The following is a 21703-nucleotide window of genomic DNA, read 5'->3' on the forward strand; positions in this document are numbered from 1 at the left end:
GTTTACAAAATGCTCTTGGGAAAACTGGCACTGGAGTACATGGTTTCAGCCTTACAGGTGAGTAAGAAAGGTCACTTCCTGACAGTACCAGGAAGCTTAGGATATTCTGGAGACTCAAGAAAAGAGGAATTTGTCCAAATTTATAGGTACTGCATTTAAAGTATGATGGCAAGTTCTTAGCTTGGCTTCCTAGCCTCAAGAGAATTTTAAAAGCTCAGTCTGAAAGTCCTGATGAAAACTTTCAACAAAGTAAACTTAAGAAGACCTGTGTGGCAAATTACCATTCTTACTCTACCTATGTGAGTAATCAGACAAGTCTAATGAGACCAGCCTTATTTTGTGATCAAGTGTTGATCAAGAATAATAGTTTTTTGTTTGTTTCTTTGTTTGTTTTTTTGAGACAGTCTCACTCTGTTGCCCAGGCTGGAGTGCAGTGGCATGATCTTGGCTCACTGCAACCTCTAGCTCCTGGGTTCAAACGATTCTCGTGCCTCAGCCTCCTGAGTAGCTGGGACTACAGGCACATGCCACCACGCCCAGCTAATTTTTTTTTTTTTTTGTATTGTATTTTTAGTAGACATGAGGTTTCACCATGTTGGCCAGGCTGGTCTCGAACTCCTGACCTAAAGTGATCCGCTTGCCTCAGCCTCCCAGAGTGCTGGGATTACAGAAGTGAGCCTCCGCGCCAAGAATAACAGTTCTTTGAGATTATTTTTTATCAAGATGGAAGTGACTGTAGAGAGGAATTTTGTGTTTCAATGGAAATCTATGCACACCCATCTGGGTTATCAGATTCTGGCTCTGGTCATTGCTGTTCATTTTTTTATAAATCACAGGTAACTGATGGATATGCAAACTGTTTTGTATGGTAAAGATTTAACTGACTTCCTTTCACCCTATGGAAAAAACAATTTTAGTACTTACCTGCAAATTGGACTGGATGCTGTCACCTTGCCTAAATTGTGGATTCTTATCAAATTTTCAATTCTTCCAGATGTCATCATTATCTGGCTATGGTTATCCAAACTAACATTTTTAATTTTCCTACCTCCTGCCTGACTCAGCATCACCAGGAACTGAATGAAGGCTCACCATCTAGATTCTACGTCAGGATTCCAGGTACCCTTGCACTGGCTCTTTGTCCAGGATCTGCAGAACCCCCTATAACCTACAGCCCAAAGACTTGATATAAACCTCAAAGGACTCATCACCATGGCAGACCATGCAGGGGCTGAATTCTCCCTGCACAGGCCACTGTCTGGACTACTAAGGAAGACCAGTAAAATGCTTGTATATGCATGTCTCTATATGAGCAAGAACCAAGACTGACCAACACCAAGAGCATCACCATCCTAGCTTGAGCTTCAAGAAACTCAAGAAGCACTGCTGCAAAACCAAAAGGTTTTCTTCCATTGACCACTTGGAATCCAGTAAACAGGTTACCCTCAGGCTCTGTACTTCAATTCAACCATTGATATGAATATTTCTCTTTTACATTTCAGTCATGCTTCTTTAAAGATGCCAGATTTCTAGCACTCTAAAACAACTGATCTTTGCCACCACCTTTCATCAGATGGCTCAACTGACTCTGCAAAACCACCACCAACAAGAGCCCTTGGGAGGCCATTTCTTATACCTGCTTTGCCCCTCTAAAGCTTTGCGATCACCTCTTAGTTGTTCAGTAATGAATGATATTCACGAAAAAAGAAGGGACTGACAACAGTAAACTCTGCCTGAGCCTCATATGCCTAAAAACAGCAACAGTTAAGAAATTTCCCTATCTTTTTGTGGCTCAGGAAATGGCTAACTGCAAAGTTCTGCCCTGCTCTGGCATATGCCAAGATAAGACCCATCTCCATCCTTCTGCATGACTTCCATAAGATTTACAGAAGATACAGATGGCTCCCTTGTCTAAGTGCCCCCATAAAACCCTAGGTCTCCCCGCTCTTCTTTGAGACTGTCTTCATTGCTCAATATTCTTCCTATTAATTAAGCATTCCTCCTTAATTATCCACTGCATTTTGTCTTTCATGCCAGCTTTCTACATCTTAGGTAGAAGAGGAACCCTAGTTTTGTTTTTAATATGGAGAAGATGTAAACATTTTTCTAGGCCAAGGTGAGAAACATCAGTAAAGAGGGGAAAAGAGGAAAAGTATAGGTGAGAGGAGAGAACGGAATTACTTATACACTCAACAAATGTTGAGTGTCATACCAGCTACTAAGATCAATACAAATGTAAATAATATATAATTTCTTCCCTTAAAGAGCCTACAGCCAAGGAAGGCAATGTGGCATGAACATAAACAACTATAATACAAAGCCATATGTGCTGAGTGTTAGGTTAACAATATCATTATCTTCCAAAATGAAAAAGAAGCTCTGTGGAATTACAGTTTGGGTGAGGGGGACAACAAAGAGAACTGGAAAGGGAAGCAGACAGAAGCTGACACAGAAGAAATTTCAGACGATGAGAACTTGGTAACAAAAGTATGCAAGCAGAAGGCCATGGGAGGCATTAAGGACAAAGTTAGTGGTGCAGTTTAGTAGGAATATAAGGTAAGCATAGGGGTTCAAGACCCAGTCATGGAAGGACAAGGGCTAGACCTGATAACATAAGCACTGGTGGAAAAGTAAAGGCTAATAAAGATTTGGGGGTAAATTACATAGTAGGAGCCACATAATAAGACTACTAAGCTAACTGCAGGGTGGAGGATGGACTGATTATAGGGGAGAGTGGCAGTTATAAGGATGACGGAATGAGGTCCTGAATAAGGGGGAATGAGTGTATGCATGAGATTAGAATACTCTGCAGACAGAACCTGGGCTCAGTGATTGAACGGAGGTCTGTGGGCCTGAATCACTCACTGATGTAATGGTTTTATCTTTAGAAACAGTGAGCCCAGCGAGGGAGTGGGCTGAGAAAAGGGAGGCAAGGACCACCTGGTCAGGGCAAGCAGCAGTGTCTAGGAGGAAGACAGAAACGCATGTTTGGAGGCAGATGCATGGTCAGGACAGGAGGCAGAGTCTGAGGAGTCGGCCTCCCTTGACTATAAGGCTCTGTGAGGCGAGAAATCACGTATTATTTACCTTTGATTTTGCCTTAGTAGCTGCATGGTATTCAACCATTTGTTGAGTGTGAAGTCCTGGAAATGTATGAGGTGGCCACAGAAGAGCAGAGCCTGAGAAGAGGAGCAGCAACAGCAGAAGAAGGTGCCAAAGCCAAACATGGCAGGGAGAGGTGGAGGCATGAGTGCAAGAGAGACAGAAGAAATCCAGGCATGCACCAGTCATGGATATGAAGGAAGAGGAGAACGCTGACATGCAGGAAGCTCTCAGTGCTTCTTATAGCTGTGTGTGGACCCCCAGGGCTCTGAGTACACCACTGTGGGCAGATCCAGGAAACCTCTTCCATCCCAGCCTCTTCAAGGCCAGCCATGCTGCCCAAAATTTCTAAATCTGGAATTCCTACTGTGCCTATTAGCTGTTGGTCAACAACAGCAGAGTTGGTCTCAAAAAAAATAATTTTTTGATAGAGATATGAGGAGAAAAAGCATGTGCCAGTTATTATTATATCACATATATAACACATAGCATATATAACACACAGCATATATATTATATATATTTCACACAGCATATATATTATATATATATGATATGCAGCATATATATTACAATTGGCCCTCCATATCTGTGGGTTCTGCAGCATATATATTACAGTTGGCCCTCCATATCTGTGGCCCTCCATATCTGTGGGTTGAATCCTTGGATTCAACCAATCGTGGGTCAAAAATATTCAGGGAAAAACTGTCTGTACTAAATATGTACAGACTATTTTTTTGTCATTATTCCCTAAACAATATAGTATAACAACTATTTATATAGCATTTACATTATGTAAGGTATTGTAAGTAATCTAGAGATGATTCAAATGATACGGGAGGATATACATGGGTTATATGCAGATACTACGCCATTTTGTACTAGAGACTTGAGCATCTATGGATTTTGATATCCACAAGAGGTCCTGGAATCAGTCCCCCTTGGATACTGAGGGATGGCTGTATATGGGAATAACATATAATGCATATATGTATCTCAGCTGCAAACCTACATTTTCTATTCTGGTTTGTGATATGGAACTCTACAAACCTCATTTCTGCTTTGTGATATGCTTCCCTGTGGGTCTTTGCTAATAGAGGCCACCAGAGGGAGGCTGCAAAGATGGAGGAGTGAGAAGGGACTTGCATCTTCTACTCCACTTCTCATAGGCTTCTCCTCCCTGTTCCTGTGTTACCGATGAGCAGGCGATAAATGGACTGAGTCCAAATTTGAACTACAGTGGACCCAGGACATCTGTAGATCCATGCCTGTGGTTGAATTCCCAGTTCCTGAATGTATAATCGGCATAGATATACTGGCAACTGGCTGAATCCCTCTACGCTGGCTTACAGTAGGAAAGGGCCAAGTGAAGCTCCTGAATAGTAATACTGCATCCAGGGGGAACTGCAGAAACCAGTGCTAATATCAAAGACTTGAAAGTTGGAGGGATGGAAGTACCTATCACATCTCCTTCTAACACACCTTTTGGACTGTGAAGAACATACTTAGATCTTGGGTAATGGCTGTGGATTATCATAAAATTAATCAAGTGGTAGGTCTGACTGCAACTCCTGTTCTGATGTAGTATATTTACTGGAACAAATCAACAAAGCCCCTGACACCTGCCATGCACCTATTGGCCTGGAAAATGTTTTTTCCTCCATTCCCCTTGGTAAGAACCATGAGCTTTTACCTGACAAGACCTTCATAGTATTGTGAATTCTCCTCCTAACATAACACAGTGTGTGGAGATCTTGACATTATACCCATCTGCTAAACTGACATTTATACTGATTGGATGTGATGAGCAGAAAATGCAAAATAGTTTAGATATCTTGGAGGCATGCACGTAAACAGAGGGTGGGAGATAAACCCCATGAAAATTCAAAGGCTTATGATCTCAAAGCTTCCAGAGATCTAGTGTGACGAGCTTGTTAAGATTGCCTCTCCAAGGCAAAAGACAAGTTGCTGTACTTTGCATCACCTACAACTAAAAAATAAAGAAAATCCTTGGTGGATCCTTCTTGGCATTTGGAGGCAATGCATACCAAACTTGAGTGTGTTATTTCAACCCATTTACTGAGTAATCAATTTTGAGCAGAGACTAAAGCAATCTCTTGCTCTGCATCAAGCCCAGGCTGAAGAACAAGCCTTATGACCCCACAGATCCAATGCTAGTAAAAGTGCCTGTGACAAACAGGCTGGTCTGTGGAGCCTGTGACAAGCATTAATAGGACAATCACAGTACAGAACTCTGGAGTGTGGAGGCAAATCCATGCCCTCTTCTCCAAGTAACTAATATCTGTTTGAAAAAGATTCTGCTTTTCTACTGGCCCTTAGTAAAGAATAAACACTGAACCATGAGATATCAAGTAACCTTGTGACCTGAGCTTTCCATCATGAATTTATAGTTATTGACACACCTAGCCACAGATTAGACCTGTGCAGCAAAAATAGAAAAGGCTGGACTCAAGCAGGTCCAGAGGACAGAAGTAAGTCAGACTCCTTCGACACTGACTCTGGCTGCATTGCCTCCTCCCCCTCAATCCTCATCTATGCCTGCTGGGAGTTCCTTATGACTAGGTAGCTGAGAAGGAAATAATCTGGGCTTGATTTGCAGGCAGTTCTCTATATGTTGGAACCAACAGAAAGTGGATGGCAATATTACAATCTCACTTGGGTGTCTCTGAAGGACAGTGATAAACAGAAGACTTCCTATTCAGCAGAACTTGGAGCTGTTTGGTTATCCACTTTGTTTGAACTGAGAGATGACCAGAAGTACAGATCTGCTGACTAAAGGAAGATTTCTAATTAATGACTGGATGGTTATGGAGGGACAAGGGTTGGAACATTGGTGATGAGATCTGGGGAAATTATATAGATAAACTTCTCAAACTGGGCACAAAGGGGAACAGATATTTGGGTCCCAAATATCTGATGTGGATACTCACTGGAAGGCATGCATTACAGAGGCTTGCAACAATGGGCTTGTGGTTCATGAAACTCATTGGTCTTACCAGAGATCCCATCGTGAAGAGGTCAGTCTGAACAGTGGGATGGCCTACTAGATAATTACCTAGGGCACCAGATGGGAGTCAACACCCTGAAAGAATAGGGTTTTATCTTATAGGATGCAATATATCCTTCAAATCAAAGACCTATTCATAGTGCTGTCTCTTCATGGGCCCAGGAAGCAAGAACAGAAAAGAAAGCAGGTCTTCCCACTAGCACACATAATGACCAGTCACTTCTCATCTCCACAATTTTGAGCTCTGCTTGCTTGGAAGGTCTTGGTTCCCAAGGGAGGACTATTTCCACCAGGGACCCAACAATGGCTCCATCAAACTGGAAGCTGAGACTGCCTCCATTTAGACATTTTTGGGTGCCTCATGACATTAAATCAAAAAAGAGCAGTGACTTTGCGGGCTGAAGTGACTGACCCCAATTATCAAGGGAAAATTGGGGTTATTACCACACGATCGTGGCAGAGGACTAGGTCTGGAACCCAGGGGATTTTCTGGGGCTCCAATGAACACTTCTAGCAAAAGTTAGTGCTGGCTTCTCCCCCTGCCACATGCACGAATATTTTCCCTTTTGGCTGTGCATTATTTAGTGGCTTTAGGACTAAACTGCTTAGGAAGAGAGGGAAAAAGACAAACCTACAGATTTGAAATTATTGTCCCTTGTTCCAGTTTTCCCTCTCCTTTGCATCTTTTGCTGCTCACCCTTCCCTGTTCTAACTCTCCACTTTTTTTCCATAGGGACCATCTGGTCTAGAATGACTGCTGACCTAATCTGGAATCAATCTCATTTGGTGCTGGGCATGATCCACATAAGAAGAGTCCCACTCCCCACTGCCTTGGTCTGCTTCTCCACTCTCGGAGAGGGCTCACCATGAGAAGCCCTGGCTTAGATCCTCCAGGACAGGTGCTCTCTAGGGAAGTCTGAACACATGGACCAAGAACCAAGTGGTCAAGCCTGGTTTCCACCTTCCTCAGTAATCACTTTAAGCCTGACAAGTTATGGGAAAATGGGATGCCCAGCATTGCCAGAGCCTACGACACCCATGTAGGAGCCATCTACCCATCCAATTAGCCAGACTGTCAATTCAACATGACATACAATTCTTCCTCAAAACCAGATTTGGTACAGATACTCCCTCTTCCTTGCCTGTTACCACCCATATTTGGCACCTCCCACGTGGTCTCTGGGCACTGTGAGCAAGCACAGTGTGTGCTTTTACAGGCCATTTAGATAAGAGGTTTGCAACCAATCAACCCTTTACCTATCATGGATAGGCCATGAGCTACTATTCAGTTTCCGAGCACAGCAGGCTTACCCACCACAACCCTGAGAGCCAAGTCATTGCGATTAGAGATTGCTTGAGAGTGGGCTTTGCAGTGGACTGCCAGAATTCGGCTATGGTTCTGCCACTTACCAGCTGTGTGATTTGGGCAAGTTACTTAACCTCTCTGTGCCTCAGTTTTTCCCTGAACTATAGAATACCAGTAATGATGGCCTAGGATAAAGCTTGAATGTAAGCATTGTTATTGTTCTCCCTACTTGGGGGAGGAGGGGGTGGGTGGAATCAATGCCAAGATGCAAGCAGGACTCAGAATTAACAAATGACACAGAGACAGAGCTGAGAATGGGGGCCAGGGTCCTAATTCTTTTTTTATTTCTTTTTTTTTTTTGAGACAGGGTCTTGCTCCGTCTCCCAGGATATGGAGTGCAGTAGCTCAATCATGGCTTACCGAAGCTTTGAACTCTCGGGCTCAAGAAACCTTCCCACCTCAGTCTCTTGAGTAACTGGGACTACAGGTGCATGCCACCATGTCTGGCTAATTAAAAAAAATTTTTTTTTTGGAGACAGGGGTCTCACTATGTTACCCAGGCTGGTCTTGAACTCCCGGTCTCAAGTGATCCTCCCTTCTCCTGAGTAGCTGAGTTTACAGGCGTGTACCCGCCTGGCTAATGAGTCCTAATACTTTTTTTTTTGAGACAGTGTCTCGCTCTGTCACCCAGGTTGGAGTGCAGTGGCGTGATCTCGGCTCACTGCAAGCTCCACCACCTGGGTTCAAGCTATTCTCCTGCCTCAGCCTCCTGAGTAACTGGGACTACAGGGACCCGCCACCACGCCCGGCTAATTTTTTTCTATTTTTAGTACCGACGAGATTTCACCGTGTTAGCCAGGATGGTCTCGATCTCATGACCTCATGATCTGCCTGCCTCGGCCTCCCAAAGTGCTGGGATTACAGGTGTGAGCCACCGTGCCCGGCCTAATGAGTCCTAATTCTTAATCCTTGGCCTTTCTCTTCAAGTTGCAAGTTGGGGCAGGAAACAAAGGTCAATGCAGGGCAGAGAATTTCTCCTCACGTGCCCCTCCCTTTTTATCAGGAGGAAACCCTTCCCAGTAGCCTCTGGCACAGTCCCCTTAAAATTCACTAGCCAGGACTGGGCTACATGCCCATCCCTCCCTGAGAAAGGGATCTCCCCCAAGTCTTCCACAACACTGTAATTCTAGTGGTATGAAGAATGGGAGAATAAGTCATCAGTTTTGTAGGCCATTCTTAACCTGCCCCTTGGCCACCCTGCCATCAGGATGCTTCCCTAGCCACCTTCTCTTCAAAAGCACCAGTAAATATAAAAAAATCCACTCTCTCCTACAGAGATATTAACCATCCTTTGCTTGAGCTACTAATACCTTACAGTCAGAGCCATCTCATCTATTCCAGTTTCTCAAGGAACCTTCCCCAAACCAAAAGCTCTCTTCCCCAAGAGGAATTCTGGTGCCAACTCATTACAAAAACTAATAAAAAACTACATGCATGGTGTGATTCCAACTACTGAAAAATATGTATGGAAAAGGACTAGAAACAAACACACTAAAATGTAAACAGACAATGCTTCTGGTTGATGAGATTATAGATATTCTTTTTTTTCTTCTTTATGCTTTTCTATACTGGCCAACATTTCTACTCTCAATATGTATGCCTTTTCCAGCTGAAAAATACATCTATCAGGTCAGATATTCTGGTTGCCCCTCCAGATCCATCCTTCTCCCTCACATCCCTGCTTTGCGCCCTAGGAAACTACCCCAGGAGGCTGACCTATAAGAACTGCATTATCCTCTGGCTTCCAGCAGGTGATGAGAGGCAAGAGAAGACATGGAAGTATTTATTTCCAACCTCCCACTCACCCAGCTCTCTCTGCAGCCTCTCCATGGCTACAGCTCTCCCAGAACCTAGTAACACTGCTCCTTCAGGCCTATGGGTGCAAGGCCTGTGGGAGCCCAGGGGGCTCTGAGAGGACAGGTGTGCTTATGTAGGCTGCAGGGATGGCGCCTGGTGGCGAAGGCTGCTCCTACCCACTCCTCCCTGCTTCATGAGCTCACTGAGGCCTTGCTGAAGCGTTGAGTGTGTGTCCTGGGAGCTTCAAAGCCCCGTTGTTTTCCTTCACTCTGTCTAAATTGTCCCTTCACCAATTCTAATATACCCTTTGAGTCTGCCATCTTTTCTTGCCAAGATGTGAACTAATGCATCTGTTAATAAAACTCTGAAAGACACACCTGTCCACTCAGAGTGGCAGAGACTTGAAAGTGTGTCAATTCACTTAGATGTGCACACTGATATGCATATGTAGCTCTTGGCACCTAAATAGGAACAGAACCTATCCTACAGCCTGCTGATGGCTTCCAGAGTAACTTCCTCCTTAGCTGAAGTGCCACTAGAGGAGGAATTCCAATTCTCGTTTTACTGGAACATAGGCTCCTTGACATGAGCATATCCTGCAACCCAACAACTCCATTCCTCCAACAGAAATGTGTGCATGTATTAACCAAAAGGCATGTACATAGTTGTATTATTTGCAATAATCCCAAACTATCACATGAAATAACATTTCATAAATGTTATATAACATCTCAAATGAACTATTACATACAACATGGATGTAATAGATGTTGTATGTAATACATCTATATACTTTCATAATGTTGAAAGAAGCTAGACATGCAAAAAATACATAATTCCACCTTTATTAAGTTTAAAAATAGGCGAAACCAACCTATGGTGGTAGAAGTCAGGAAAGAGGTTGTCCTGGAGCAGAAGGATAGTGTGGTAATGTTCTATTTCTTACCTGTATGTTGGTTAAACAGGTGTGTGTTGTTTGTGAAAATTCATTATACTGTATAGTTTCTATTGGTGCACTTTTATGCATATACATTATATTTGAATATAAAAGTTTGCATTTTAAAAAGTGTCATGTGTGGAATCCCTGCAAAACAGAGACATCATAGAGCCAAATAATGTTAGGTTTCCTATGCCTACAGTGGGCTCCACAGGAGGTACAAGACTTTTGTCTCTGCATTCCAGTAACCAGGATTCCAGCCCATGAGATAACTGCACTCCCTGAGTGAGGCCAATCCAGAGAAGCAGTAGCAAGAACTCAGAACCAGTGCTGCCACCTCCTGTTAGGCCAGGACAGTGAGACAGAATGAGCCCTTCTAGAAAACATCTGGCTCTTTCCCAGCCTTCAACCAGCGGCTGTGCAGCCCTGCAGACTCTCTGTTTTGAGTCTCAGGTCCCTCCTCTGGGAATTGAGGAGGATGCCTGAGAAGAGAGCCCCAAAGCCTAGTGCTTTAGTTTCCCCGCTTTAAGAATCACCTAAGGGGCAGGGCACGGTGGCTCACGCCTGTAATCCCAGCACTCCGGGAGGCCGAAGCAGGCAGATCACAAGGTAAGGAGCTCGAGACCAGCCTGACCAACATGGTGAAACCCCATCTCTACTAAAAATACAAAAATTAGCCAGGCGTGGTGGCACATGCCTGTAATCCCTGCTACTCAGGAGGCTGAGGCAGGAGAATCGCTTGAACCCAGAAGGCGGAGGTTGCAGTGAGCCAAGATCATGCCACTGTACTCCAGCCTGGGCGACAGAGCAAGACTCCATCTCAAAAAAAAAAAAAAAGGTTTAGATTATATCTTTGTTCTTAAGGTGGTTACTGGTATATTAGCATTCATTCTTATCTTCATATACTATTATAAGCTTCTTAAATTTACCAATATATTTCCACGAGTGCTTCAACATGCTGCTTTTTATCTTTTGCTCCCTTACCCCATCCTCATATTGATATTTAGAATTTTAGCTGTAGATGGCTACAGACTATATTTTCTTTGAGGCTTTTAAGGTAACAACAAACTTTATAGATACTTAACCACCCTCACTTTCTATATCTCTGTCTACTTCATCTGGACTTGTGTCTGAGTACTTCTAAATGTTTCTTTCAATATAAATGTTTTGTTTTGAGGATTTTGTTTTTTAACATTATAAAAAATTTCAAACACAGAGAAAAAAATGGCAAGACTTGTACAGTGAACATCCATATCCTATCACTGAGGCTCAAGGTTAACTGAGATTCTTGAACCTACAAATTTTGTCTTTCACCAAATATAAAAATACTTCAGCTATTATTCATTTAAATATTTTCCTTGGGGGGCCTCTTTCCTCTTGTCCTTGGACTTTAAAAATTATTTGTACATTAGATCTTTTGATATTGCCCTAAGGTGTTATTCACTATTTTCAATTTTATTTTTCTCTCCCCCAGATAACTTGTTTTTGTTTTAAAAGTCAGTAACTCGGCCAGGTGCGGTGGCTCACATCTATAATCCCGGCACTTGGGAGGCCAAGACGGGCGGATGACTTGAGGCCAGGAGTTTGAGACCAGCTTGGCCAAATGGTAAGGCTGGTGAAACCCCGTCTCCACTAAAAATACAAAAATTAGCCGGGCATGGTGGCACACGCCTGTAATCCCAGCTACTCTAGAGGCTAAGGCAGGAGAATCGCTTGAACCCAGGAGGTGGAGGTTGCAATGAGTGGAGATAGTGCCACTGCACTCCAACCTAGGGAACAGAGTAAGACTCTGTCTCAAAAAAAAAAAAGAAGAAAATCAATAACTCTTTTGTAACTTCCAATCTGCTATTAAGCCCATCCACTGAATTTTCTATTTCAAGTATTTAATTTTCCAGTGACAGAATTTCCATTTGGCTTTTTCTAGTTTGGACTTCTCTTCTGTACTTCTTACCACTTTCTTCATTATGAGCACTTTCCTTTACATCCTATAGCGTAATATTAAGAGCTGCTTTAAATTCCTTGCTTGCTAATTCCAATGTCTGCATCATCTCTGGGTCAGTCTCAATTGATTGCCTTTTCTCTTGAGCATGGGTAATATTTGCCTCTTTACTGAATAATTTGGGATCATATTCTGGACATATCATATGTTCCAAAAATGTTGGATTCTATAATGTTGCTGAAAAATACTGATTATTCATGCTAATAGGCAGGTAAGTTTACTAGACTCAAACTGCATATTGCTTGCCTGCAGTTGAAGGCAGCTGAAATTTCAGTTCAATTCTTTTAGCCTTAGCTGGACTGCTGGAAGTCTAACACACACATGTGTAGTTTAGGAGCTACAGGAAGGTTTGGACACAGTGTGCAGAATATCTGAGGCTCACTCTCTTCTTCCTGTGAGTATCCCCTCACTTTCCAGCTGCAATGGTCAACCCAACCTCTGCTATTTTGTTCTGCAAGCTGGACAGAATGGTTACAGCAGCACATTTCTGAGTTTTAGCTGCTCTGCATGGTACAGACTATGGTTTGCCCTCAGACTACAAGCCATACAAACAAAATTCACTGTTTTACTCTATCTAAGTGTCACCCACCTTCCCATTATCTGTCTGATTCTGTGGCTCTCCAGCAGCTTATGGGAAGTTTTCTATTTTTTTATTTATAGTTATTACATGTGCATGGAATGGTCTGGTAGGAGCTACTTGGCTATTACCAGATGTGGGCCCCTTCTCACTCAACTGAGTCTCAACATTTGTATACATCCTTGTAATGTCCATCCAAAACAAGATATAGAACATTTCCCCCCGACGGAAAAAGTCTCTGTACTCCTTTCTGGTTACAGTCTCTCTCAATCATGATCTGACTTCTATAACCGCAGACTAGTTTTGTTCAAATTTGGATTTCCTATCAGTGGAATCATACCGTGTAGTCTTTTGGGTCCAGCTTCTGCCATTCAGCATGCTATTGAGATTCATCCAGGTCATTGCATGTCAGTGGTTCTTTTCATTACCAAATAGTGTTCCACTATATGAAAATACTGCAATGTGTATATCCATTTTCCTATTAAGGGACATTCAGTCTATTTTCAGTTTTGGGCTATTATGAATAAAGCTGCTATGAATGTACTTGTAGAAGTCACTACTTTTGTGGACGTAAGTTATCATTTCTCTTTTGTATATACGTAGGAGAGGAATTGCTCAAACAGTTCTTCAAAGTGGTTTACTATAATAGACTACCACCAGCAATGTCTAAGAGTTCCAGGTGTTCCTTATCCTTGCTAACACTCGGTATTGTTGTTAATTTTAGCCATTCTAGTGAGTGTAAAGTGGTATTTTATTGGTTTAATATTGCATTTTACTCATGACCAGTGATACTGAAAACTCTTTCATGTGCACATTGGCTACTTGGATATCTTCTTGTGGAATGTCTCTATTTAAGCCTGCAAATATTTATTACATTTAAATCATGATTTGTAGTAATTCTTTTATGTATTCTGGTTATATGTGTGTCCTCGGTCAAATACATATTACAAACATTTTATCTGAGTCTGTGGTGTGTCTATTCTTTTTTCACTTTTATTTTTAGAGACGCTCTTGCACAGGCTGGAGTGCAGTGGTGACTCATGGTGCCCTGCAGCCTTGAATTCCTGGGCTCAAGAGATACTCCCACCTCAGCCTCCCAAATTGCTTAGATTACAGGCATGAGCCACTGCACTCGGCCAGCTTTTATTATTTTTAACTGGCATATAATTGTATGTATTTATGGGGCAGAGTACAATATTTCAAAGCGTGTATACAATGTGTAATGATCAAATCAGGATAATTGGCATATCCAGCACCTCAAAACATTTCTCATTTCTTTATCCTGGGAACATTCAAAATCTGGTTTTCTAGGAATTTGAAAATCTATAATAAATTGTTAATTATAGTCAGCCTATAGTGTTATAGAACACTAGAAGTTATTCATCCCACCTACACTCCCTACTTCTATAAGATCAGCTTTTTTAGCTCCTACCTGTGGGTGAGAACACGCAGTATTTTTCTGTCCAGACTTACTTCACTTAACATGTCCTCCAAGTTCATCCATGTTGCTGCAAATGACAGAATTTTTTTTTAACTAGGTAGTATTTCATTGTGTATATATATATCCCATTTTCTTTATCCATTCATCTGCTGATGCACACTTAGGTTGATCCTCTATCTTGGCTGCTGTGAATGGTGCTGTAATAAACATGGGAGTGCACCAACGAGTCTTTGTGTGTCAGATCTTCTGAAGCTGTGTATGCCTGAGAACATTCTTATAATGTCCTAACACTTAAATTCCATGTTCTGTCCTCCACTATGTTAAAAACATTAATGACTTCTTGAAGCGAAGATTCATGTTGTGATGTCTCACATTAGTCTGATTCTGGCTCAAACGCTGCGGTGGATGTGGATTTTCTCTATGGAAGCCTTTAAGATTTTCTGTCTTTTGTTGGCTTAGGTAAAGAGTTAATGACCAAGAGCCCAAAAGCAAATGCAACAAGAACAAAAATAAATAGATGGGACCTAATTAAACTAAAAAGCTTCTGCACAGCAAATGAAAAATCAGAGTACACAACAACCTACAGAATGGGAGAAAATATTCACAAACTATCCATCCAACAAAGGACTAATAACCAGAATCTACAAGAAACTTAAATCAGCAAGAAAAAAATATGTAATCCCATCACAAAAAGGGCAAGGGACATTACCAGACAATTCTCAAGATATGCAAATGGCTAACAAATATATGAAAAAATGCTCAACACCACTAATTATCAGGGAAATGCAAATCAAAGCCAGTGTGAAACCACCTTATTCCTGCGAGAATGGCCATAACTAAAAATTTTAAAATAATAGATGCTGGCATGAAAAGGGAACACTTTTACACTGCTGGTGGGAATGTAAACTAGTACAATCACTATGGAGAACAGTATGGAAATCCCTTAAAGAACTAAAATTAGAACTATCATTTGATCCAGCAATCCCACTACTGGGTATCTACCCAAAGGAAAATAGTCATTATATGAAAAAGTCACTTGCACACACATCTACAGCAATACAATTTGCAACTGCAAAAACATGGAACCAGCCTAAATGCCCATCAACCAAAGAGTGGATAAAAAAAAAATGTGGTATATATATACCATGGAATACTATTCAGCCATAAAAAGAAACAAAATAATGGCATTTGCACCAACCTGGATGGAGCTGAAGACCATTATTTTAAGTGAAGTAACTCAGGAATGGAAATCCAAATATTGTACGTTCTCACTTAGAAGTGGGAGCTAAGCTATAAGGACACAAAGGCATAAGAATGATATAATTGGGCTGGGCGCGGTGGCTCATGCCTGTAATCCCAGGACTTTGGGAGGCTGAGGCGGGCGGATCACTTGAGGTCAGGAGCTTGACACCAGCCTGGCCAACATGGTGAAACCATATCTACCAAGAATATAAAAATTAGCTGGGCGTGGTGGCGGGCACCTGTAATCCCAGCTACTCGGGAGGCTGAGGCATGAGAATCACTTGAACCCGGGAGGCGGAGCTTGCAGTAAGCCAAAATCGTGCCACTGCACTCTAGCCTGGATGACAGAGTGAGACTCAGTCTCAAAAAAAAAAAAAAAAAAGATATAATTGACTTTGAGGACTTCGGGGTAAGGGTGGGGGTGATTAAAATACTACACATTTGGTGCAGTGTACACTGCTCAGATGCCAGGTGCACCAAAATCTCAGAAATCACCACTAAAGAACTTACCCATGTAACCAAAAACCACCTCTTCCCCAACAACTACTGGAATCAAATTTAAAAATAAGAAAGATTTTCTGTCTTTAATTATAATGTGTCTAGATGTGGGTTTTCCTTATTGCTCCCAGTTGAGACTCCATGTGAATGCTTTCAAACTGAGGCCTTTCAATTTTCTCTTAATTCTTAGAAATTTATCCTCCATTATGTAAAAAATTACTTCCTTGTTTTTTATTTCATTTTCCTTTCATGGCTTTTAAAAATTGAAAAAGAAAATTGAGAGACAGGGTCTTGTTGCCCAGGCTGGACTGCAGTCGCTATCCACAGGCCTGATCATCGCACACTACAGGCTTCAACGCCTGGCCTTAAGCAATCTTCCCGAGTAGCCAGCTTTCCCTTCATGACTCTTAATTGTGTTCTACTGCTTCTACTTCTGTCCTCTATACTTCTTGGCTCTTTTGATGCCTTCTGAGAGAATTCCTAATTCTAATCTTCCAGTTAATTAATTCTTTAGCCATATCCCTTCTACTTTTTATCCCATAATTACCTTGTTTTAGCTATTATATTTTCTATAACTAGTATTTCTGGGTTTTTAAATAACAGTTTCCTGTTGTTTCATATCAGTATCTGACCAACCATAACTCCTTACATATATTAGTCACATATTAACTTATCTCTTCCAATAATTCTGCTTCAGAAAGTATATGTTGTCCACTGTTGCCTTTTGTGAGGTGGCTGTCTCCTCAAATGTTTAGTTTTTGGGGGGTGGTGTTGAAGTAGGCCAAGTGGGAAACTAAAACTTCAATCCCAATGAGTGGTAATAAAGCTCCCAACCCCCACTCTTCTTGTGCCATTAGAGACCATGTGGTTAGCCTGGAAATCTACCCACCTGGCAATAAGACACAACCCTGTCCCAGCTTAGGTGGCATCAGCAAAGACCTAGTGAAGAGTCAGGGCATTTACCTCTGCCTAGAAACAAGAACATGTGAGAAAGACCAACAAGGTACTCCTGCCCTTCCAGCTAGGCTGGCTGGCAGCAGCAGAGGCCAGGTGGGGAGCCAAAACTCCCACCTCCACCCAGCAGTAAAGACTCCACCCCAATGTCAATGAAAGCCAAGTGGGGATCCTAGACTTCCACCCCATCTGGCAGTAACAAAGTTCCCCTATGAGAGCAGTGTCAGATGAGGCCTGCTAAAACAGAAGATTTAAAGAAGATCGAGTTTCATAGATAACACTCAAAATGTCCCAGTTTCATCCAAAACCACTCAAAGAATATATCAAGAACCAAGAAATTCTCAACTCAAATAAGAAAAGACAACCAACAGATGCCAAAATTGAGAAGACACAGATATTAGAACTGTCTAACAAGGATTTTCAAGCAGCCATCATTTAAAATGCTGCAATGAGCAATATCACACTAAGACAAATGAAAACAGAAATCCTCAGGAAGGATACAGAAGACATAAAGAACAAAACAAATTTGAGAAATGAAAACTAGAATAACCTAAATGAAAAAAATCAATGAATAGGCTCAACAGCAGAACAGAAGGGACACAAGAAAGAATCCGTGAACTTGAAGACAGAACAACAGACACAATCTGAAAAGAGAACAAACCAACAGAAAAAAAACAAAAGAACAGAGCCTGAGGGTGCTGTAGGGCTATACCTAAGATCTAATAGTCATGCCACTGGGGGCATGATGCAGAGGAAAAAGAAGGAAGCACTGAAAAAATAGTGGCTGAAAATTCCCCAAATATGGTAAAAAGGCTTAAGCCTATACAGGTTCAAGAAGCTGAGCAAATCCTAAACAGAAAAAAAAAACCAAAATCCATGTCAAGATGCATCATATTCAAACCTGAAAATTAAAGAAAAAGAAAAAATATTGAAAGCACAAAGAAACAACACCTTATCTACAAACGGGAAACAATTTGAATGACACTGAATATCTCATCAGAAAACAAGAAAGCAGAATTTTCCAAATTCAAGAACAGAATTCTGTGGTCAACACAGAATTTATCTAGCAAAACTATCCTTCATTAATGAAAGGTAAAATTCAGACATTCTCAGACAAAGGAAAATTAAAAGAATGTGTTGCCGCTGACAACAAAGAAGACTGGCTAAAGAGAGTTCTCTAAATAAGAAGGAAATGGTAAAAGAAGGAATCTTGGAACATTAGGAAGAAAGAACAATGGAAAGAGCAAAAATATGGGTAACTACAATAGACTTCCCTTTTCTTTTCTTTTTTTTTTGGAGACGGAGTCTCGCTCTGTCACCCAGGCTGAAGTACAGTGGTGCAATCTCGGCTCACTGCAACCTCCGCCTCCTGGGTTCAAGCAATTCTCGTGCCTCAGCCTCCGGAGTAGCTGGGATTACAGGCGCCCACCACCACACCCAGCTAATTTTTGTATTTTTTTGAGTAGAGACAGGGTTTCACCATGTTGGCCAAGCTAGTCTTGAACTCCTGACCTCAAGTGATCTGCCTGCCTTGGCCTTGCAAAGTGCTGGGATTACAGGCTTAAGCCACCGCACCCAGCCCTTTTCTTAAGTTTTCTAAATTATATTTGAAGCAAAACTTACAACACTGTCTAACGTGGTTCTCAAAGTACATAGATAGTTATACTAGAGGTGGAAGAGGGTAATGTGGATACCAGGAGACTGTGGTAAGTTACATATATATAAAGTAACATTTTGGAGCAACCACTAAAAAACTATACAAGGAGATACAACTCAAACCGCTATGAATAAACCAAAATTGTATTCTAAAAAAAGTGTTCAAGTAACCCACTTACAGGCAGGAAAATGAAAACAAAAAATGGAAAACAAAAACTAAAATGGCCAACTTAAGGCCTAACATTACCTATAATTACATGTAAGAAAACAGTCTAAAAACTCTAATTAAAAGAATGATATTGGTATAGAAGAAAAATCATATGCTACATGCAGTCTACAAGAAATTCACTTGAAATATAATGACATAGGTAGGGTGAAAACAAAAGAATAAAAAATATGTCATGCAAACATAAATCAAAAACAAGTAGAATGGGTATAGTGTCAAATAAAGTAGACTTCATGGCAAAGAAAACCAACAGGGACAGAGGGACATTACATAATGATAAAAGGGTCAATCCACCAAAAAGACACAGAAATCCTAAAAGTGTATGTACCAAATAACAGAACTGAAAAATATGTGTAATAAAAACTGACAGAACTGAAAGGAGACATAGACAATTCCACAATTATAGTTGGAAATTTCAACACCACTCTTTACAGTTGACAGAACAACTTGACAGAAAATCAGCAAGGATATACAAGAACCTGACAACACCATCAGCCAACAATTTTATCGACATTTATGGAACACTCCACCCTACAGCAGAACACATTTAAGCACCCACAGAATACATACCAAGATAGATCACCCCTGGGCCATAAACCTCAACAAATTTAAAAGACCACAATGAGATACCACTACACACCTATTAGAATGGCTAAAATAAAAAATAAAAGAGGCCAGGCGCAGTGGCTCACACCTGTAATCCCAGCACTTTGGGAGGCTGAGGCGGGTGGATTACCTGAGGTCAGGAGTTCAAGACCAGCCTGGCCGACGTGGTGAAACCCCATCTCTACTAAAAATACAAAAAAAAAAAAAAAATTAGACAGGTGTGGTGGTGGATGCCTGTAATCCCAGCTACTAGGGAGGCTGAGGCAGAATTGCTTGAACCTGGGAGGCAGAGGTTGCAGTGAGCCAAGATTGCGCATTGCACTCCAGCCTGGGCGACAGAATGAGACTCAGTCTCCCAAAAATAAAATAAAAATAAATAAATAATAAAAGAGACAATATAGAATGCTGGCAGGAATGCCGAGAAAATGAATCTCGCATACACTGCTGATAGGAATGTAAAATAGTACAACTACTCTGAAAAACAGTGGCAGTTTCTTTTTTTTTTTCTTTAGAAACAAGGTCTCACTCTGTTGCTCAGATTGAGTACCATGGCACGATCACAGCTCACTGCAGCCTTGACCTCCCAGGCTCAAGCAATCCTTCCATTTCAGCTTCCCAAGTAGCCGGGACTACAGGTGCGCGGCATGACACCCGGCTAATTTGTATTTTTGTAGAGGCAGGGTCTATCTATGTTGCCTAGGGGGTTTCAAACTCCTGAGCTCAAGCAATCCTACCATCTTGGCCTCCCAAAGTGCTGGGATTACAGGTGTGAGCCATCAGGCTGGGCTGGCAGTTTCCTAAAAAATTAAAAACTTAACATATGACCTAGTAATCACACTCCTGGTTATTTACCAGAGAGAAATGAAAACTCATGTTCTCATTTTAAAAACTGCATACAATTGGCTGGGCACAGTGGCTCACACCTGTAATCCCAGCACTTTGGGAGGCCGAGGCAGGAGGATTGCCTGAGGTCAGGAGTTTGAGACCAGTCTAGCCAACATGGTGAAACCCTGTCTCTACTAAAAATACAAAAAAATTAGCCGGTCCTGGTGGTGTGTGCCTGTAATCCCAGCTACTCAGAAGGCTGAGGCAGGGGAATTGCTTGAACCAGGGAGGTGGAGGTTGCAGTGAGCTGAGATCGTGCCACTGCACTCCAGCCTAGGCGACACAGCAAGACTCCGTCTCAAAAAACAAAACAAAACAAAACAAAACAAAACAAAACAAAACCACTGCACACAATTGCCACAGTAGCTTTATCTGTAATAGCCCCCAACAGGGAACAAACTAGATGTCCCTCAATAGGTGAATGAATTGTTACACAAACTGTGCTAAACCCATACCATGAAATACCACTCAGCAATAAAAGGAATGAACTACTCATATACACGTAACAACTTGGATGTGTATCAAGGAAATGATATTGAATGAAAACAAGACAATCTCAAAAGGCCATGCACTGTAAGATTCTATTTATACATCAACCTATTTAGGACAAGTAGAAGAGATTAGTGGTTGCTAGGGTCAGGAATGGTGGGGAAGGAGATGGATGCAACTATAAAGGGGTGGCATGAGGGAGATCTTTGTGCTGATGGAACCATTCTGTATTTTGTTTATGGTTACAGCGATAAAATGACATAGAACTATACACACACATTGTACCAACTTCCTGGTTTTAATTTTGTATTATAGTTAAGTGAGATGTAAGTACTGGGGAAACTTGGTGAAGGGTGTTATACTATACTACAATTGCAGGTTAAAAACACACATATCTAACAGTCCAGCAGTGTTTTGCTTTGTTTAAATCCATCTACTTCTCCTTAGAAAAGTAATGATATGAACCACATGACTTCATCTTCTGGATACTATGATTGGACTGGGTGGGAAGAGATAAGGAGAACCAACCCACAAGTGAGAGTGAGCCAATCAGGCTGTCTTCAGAATTTGAACTGAATGAAAGAGACCAGCCATCCATAAAGGGTTCTGCAGCTAAAAAGTCCTGTGACAATAGGATCAAAACTGGATCCCGGCAAGTCCAAGCCACTTGAGGTCACGAGGCAAGTACCAAAACCGTGAGGCTCCTTGTCTATAAAAATGCCTAATGAGAGAATATTCCCTTTCAGAGCTATTTTGGTGGTGAATAGGTTTCTCCTTCTTGCAGCCATCAACCCTGACCAAAATGTGTGCTTGAAAAAGACATAAAAAGGTAAAAAAGACTTGTCTGCATCATTATTTGCTATGGCCCTGTCCCCATACCCCTGAAGTTTCAGAGAGCTG

General features: G+C 41.6%; 1 protein-coding gene across 4 annotated transcripts in view; it reads right to left on the reverse strand.

Moving 5' to 3' along the window:
- Positions 1-10122: 10122 nt before the first annotated feature.
- Positions 10123-21703, reverse strand: part of KANSL3 (KAT8 regulatory NSL complex subunit 3) — a 57819-nt gene continuing 46238 nt past the window's right edge. For all 4 annotated transcript variants that reach the window (XM_047445030.1, XM_047445024.1, XM_047444998.1 and 1 more), the window contains one exon: positions 10123-14314. In XM_047445030.1, coding sequence (XP_047300986.1) covers positions 14303-14314 — 12 coding nt within the window. In that variant the 3' untranslated portion in view covers positions 10123-14302. The remainder of the gene's footprint in view (positions 14315-21703) is intronic.

This window comes from Homo sapiens, chromosome 2 (genome assembly GCF_000001405.40).
Source record: "Homo sapiens chromosome 2, GRCh38.p14 Primary Assembly".
Taxonomy (NCBI): Eukaryota; Metazoa; Chordata; class Mammalia; order Primates; family Hominidae; genus Homo; species Homo sapiens.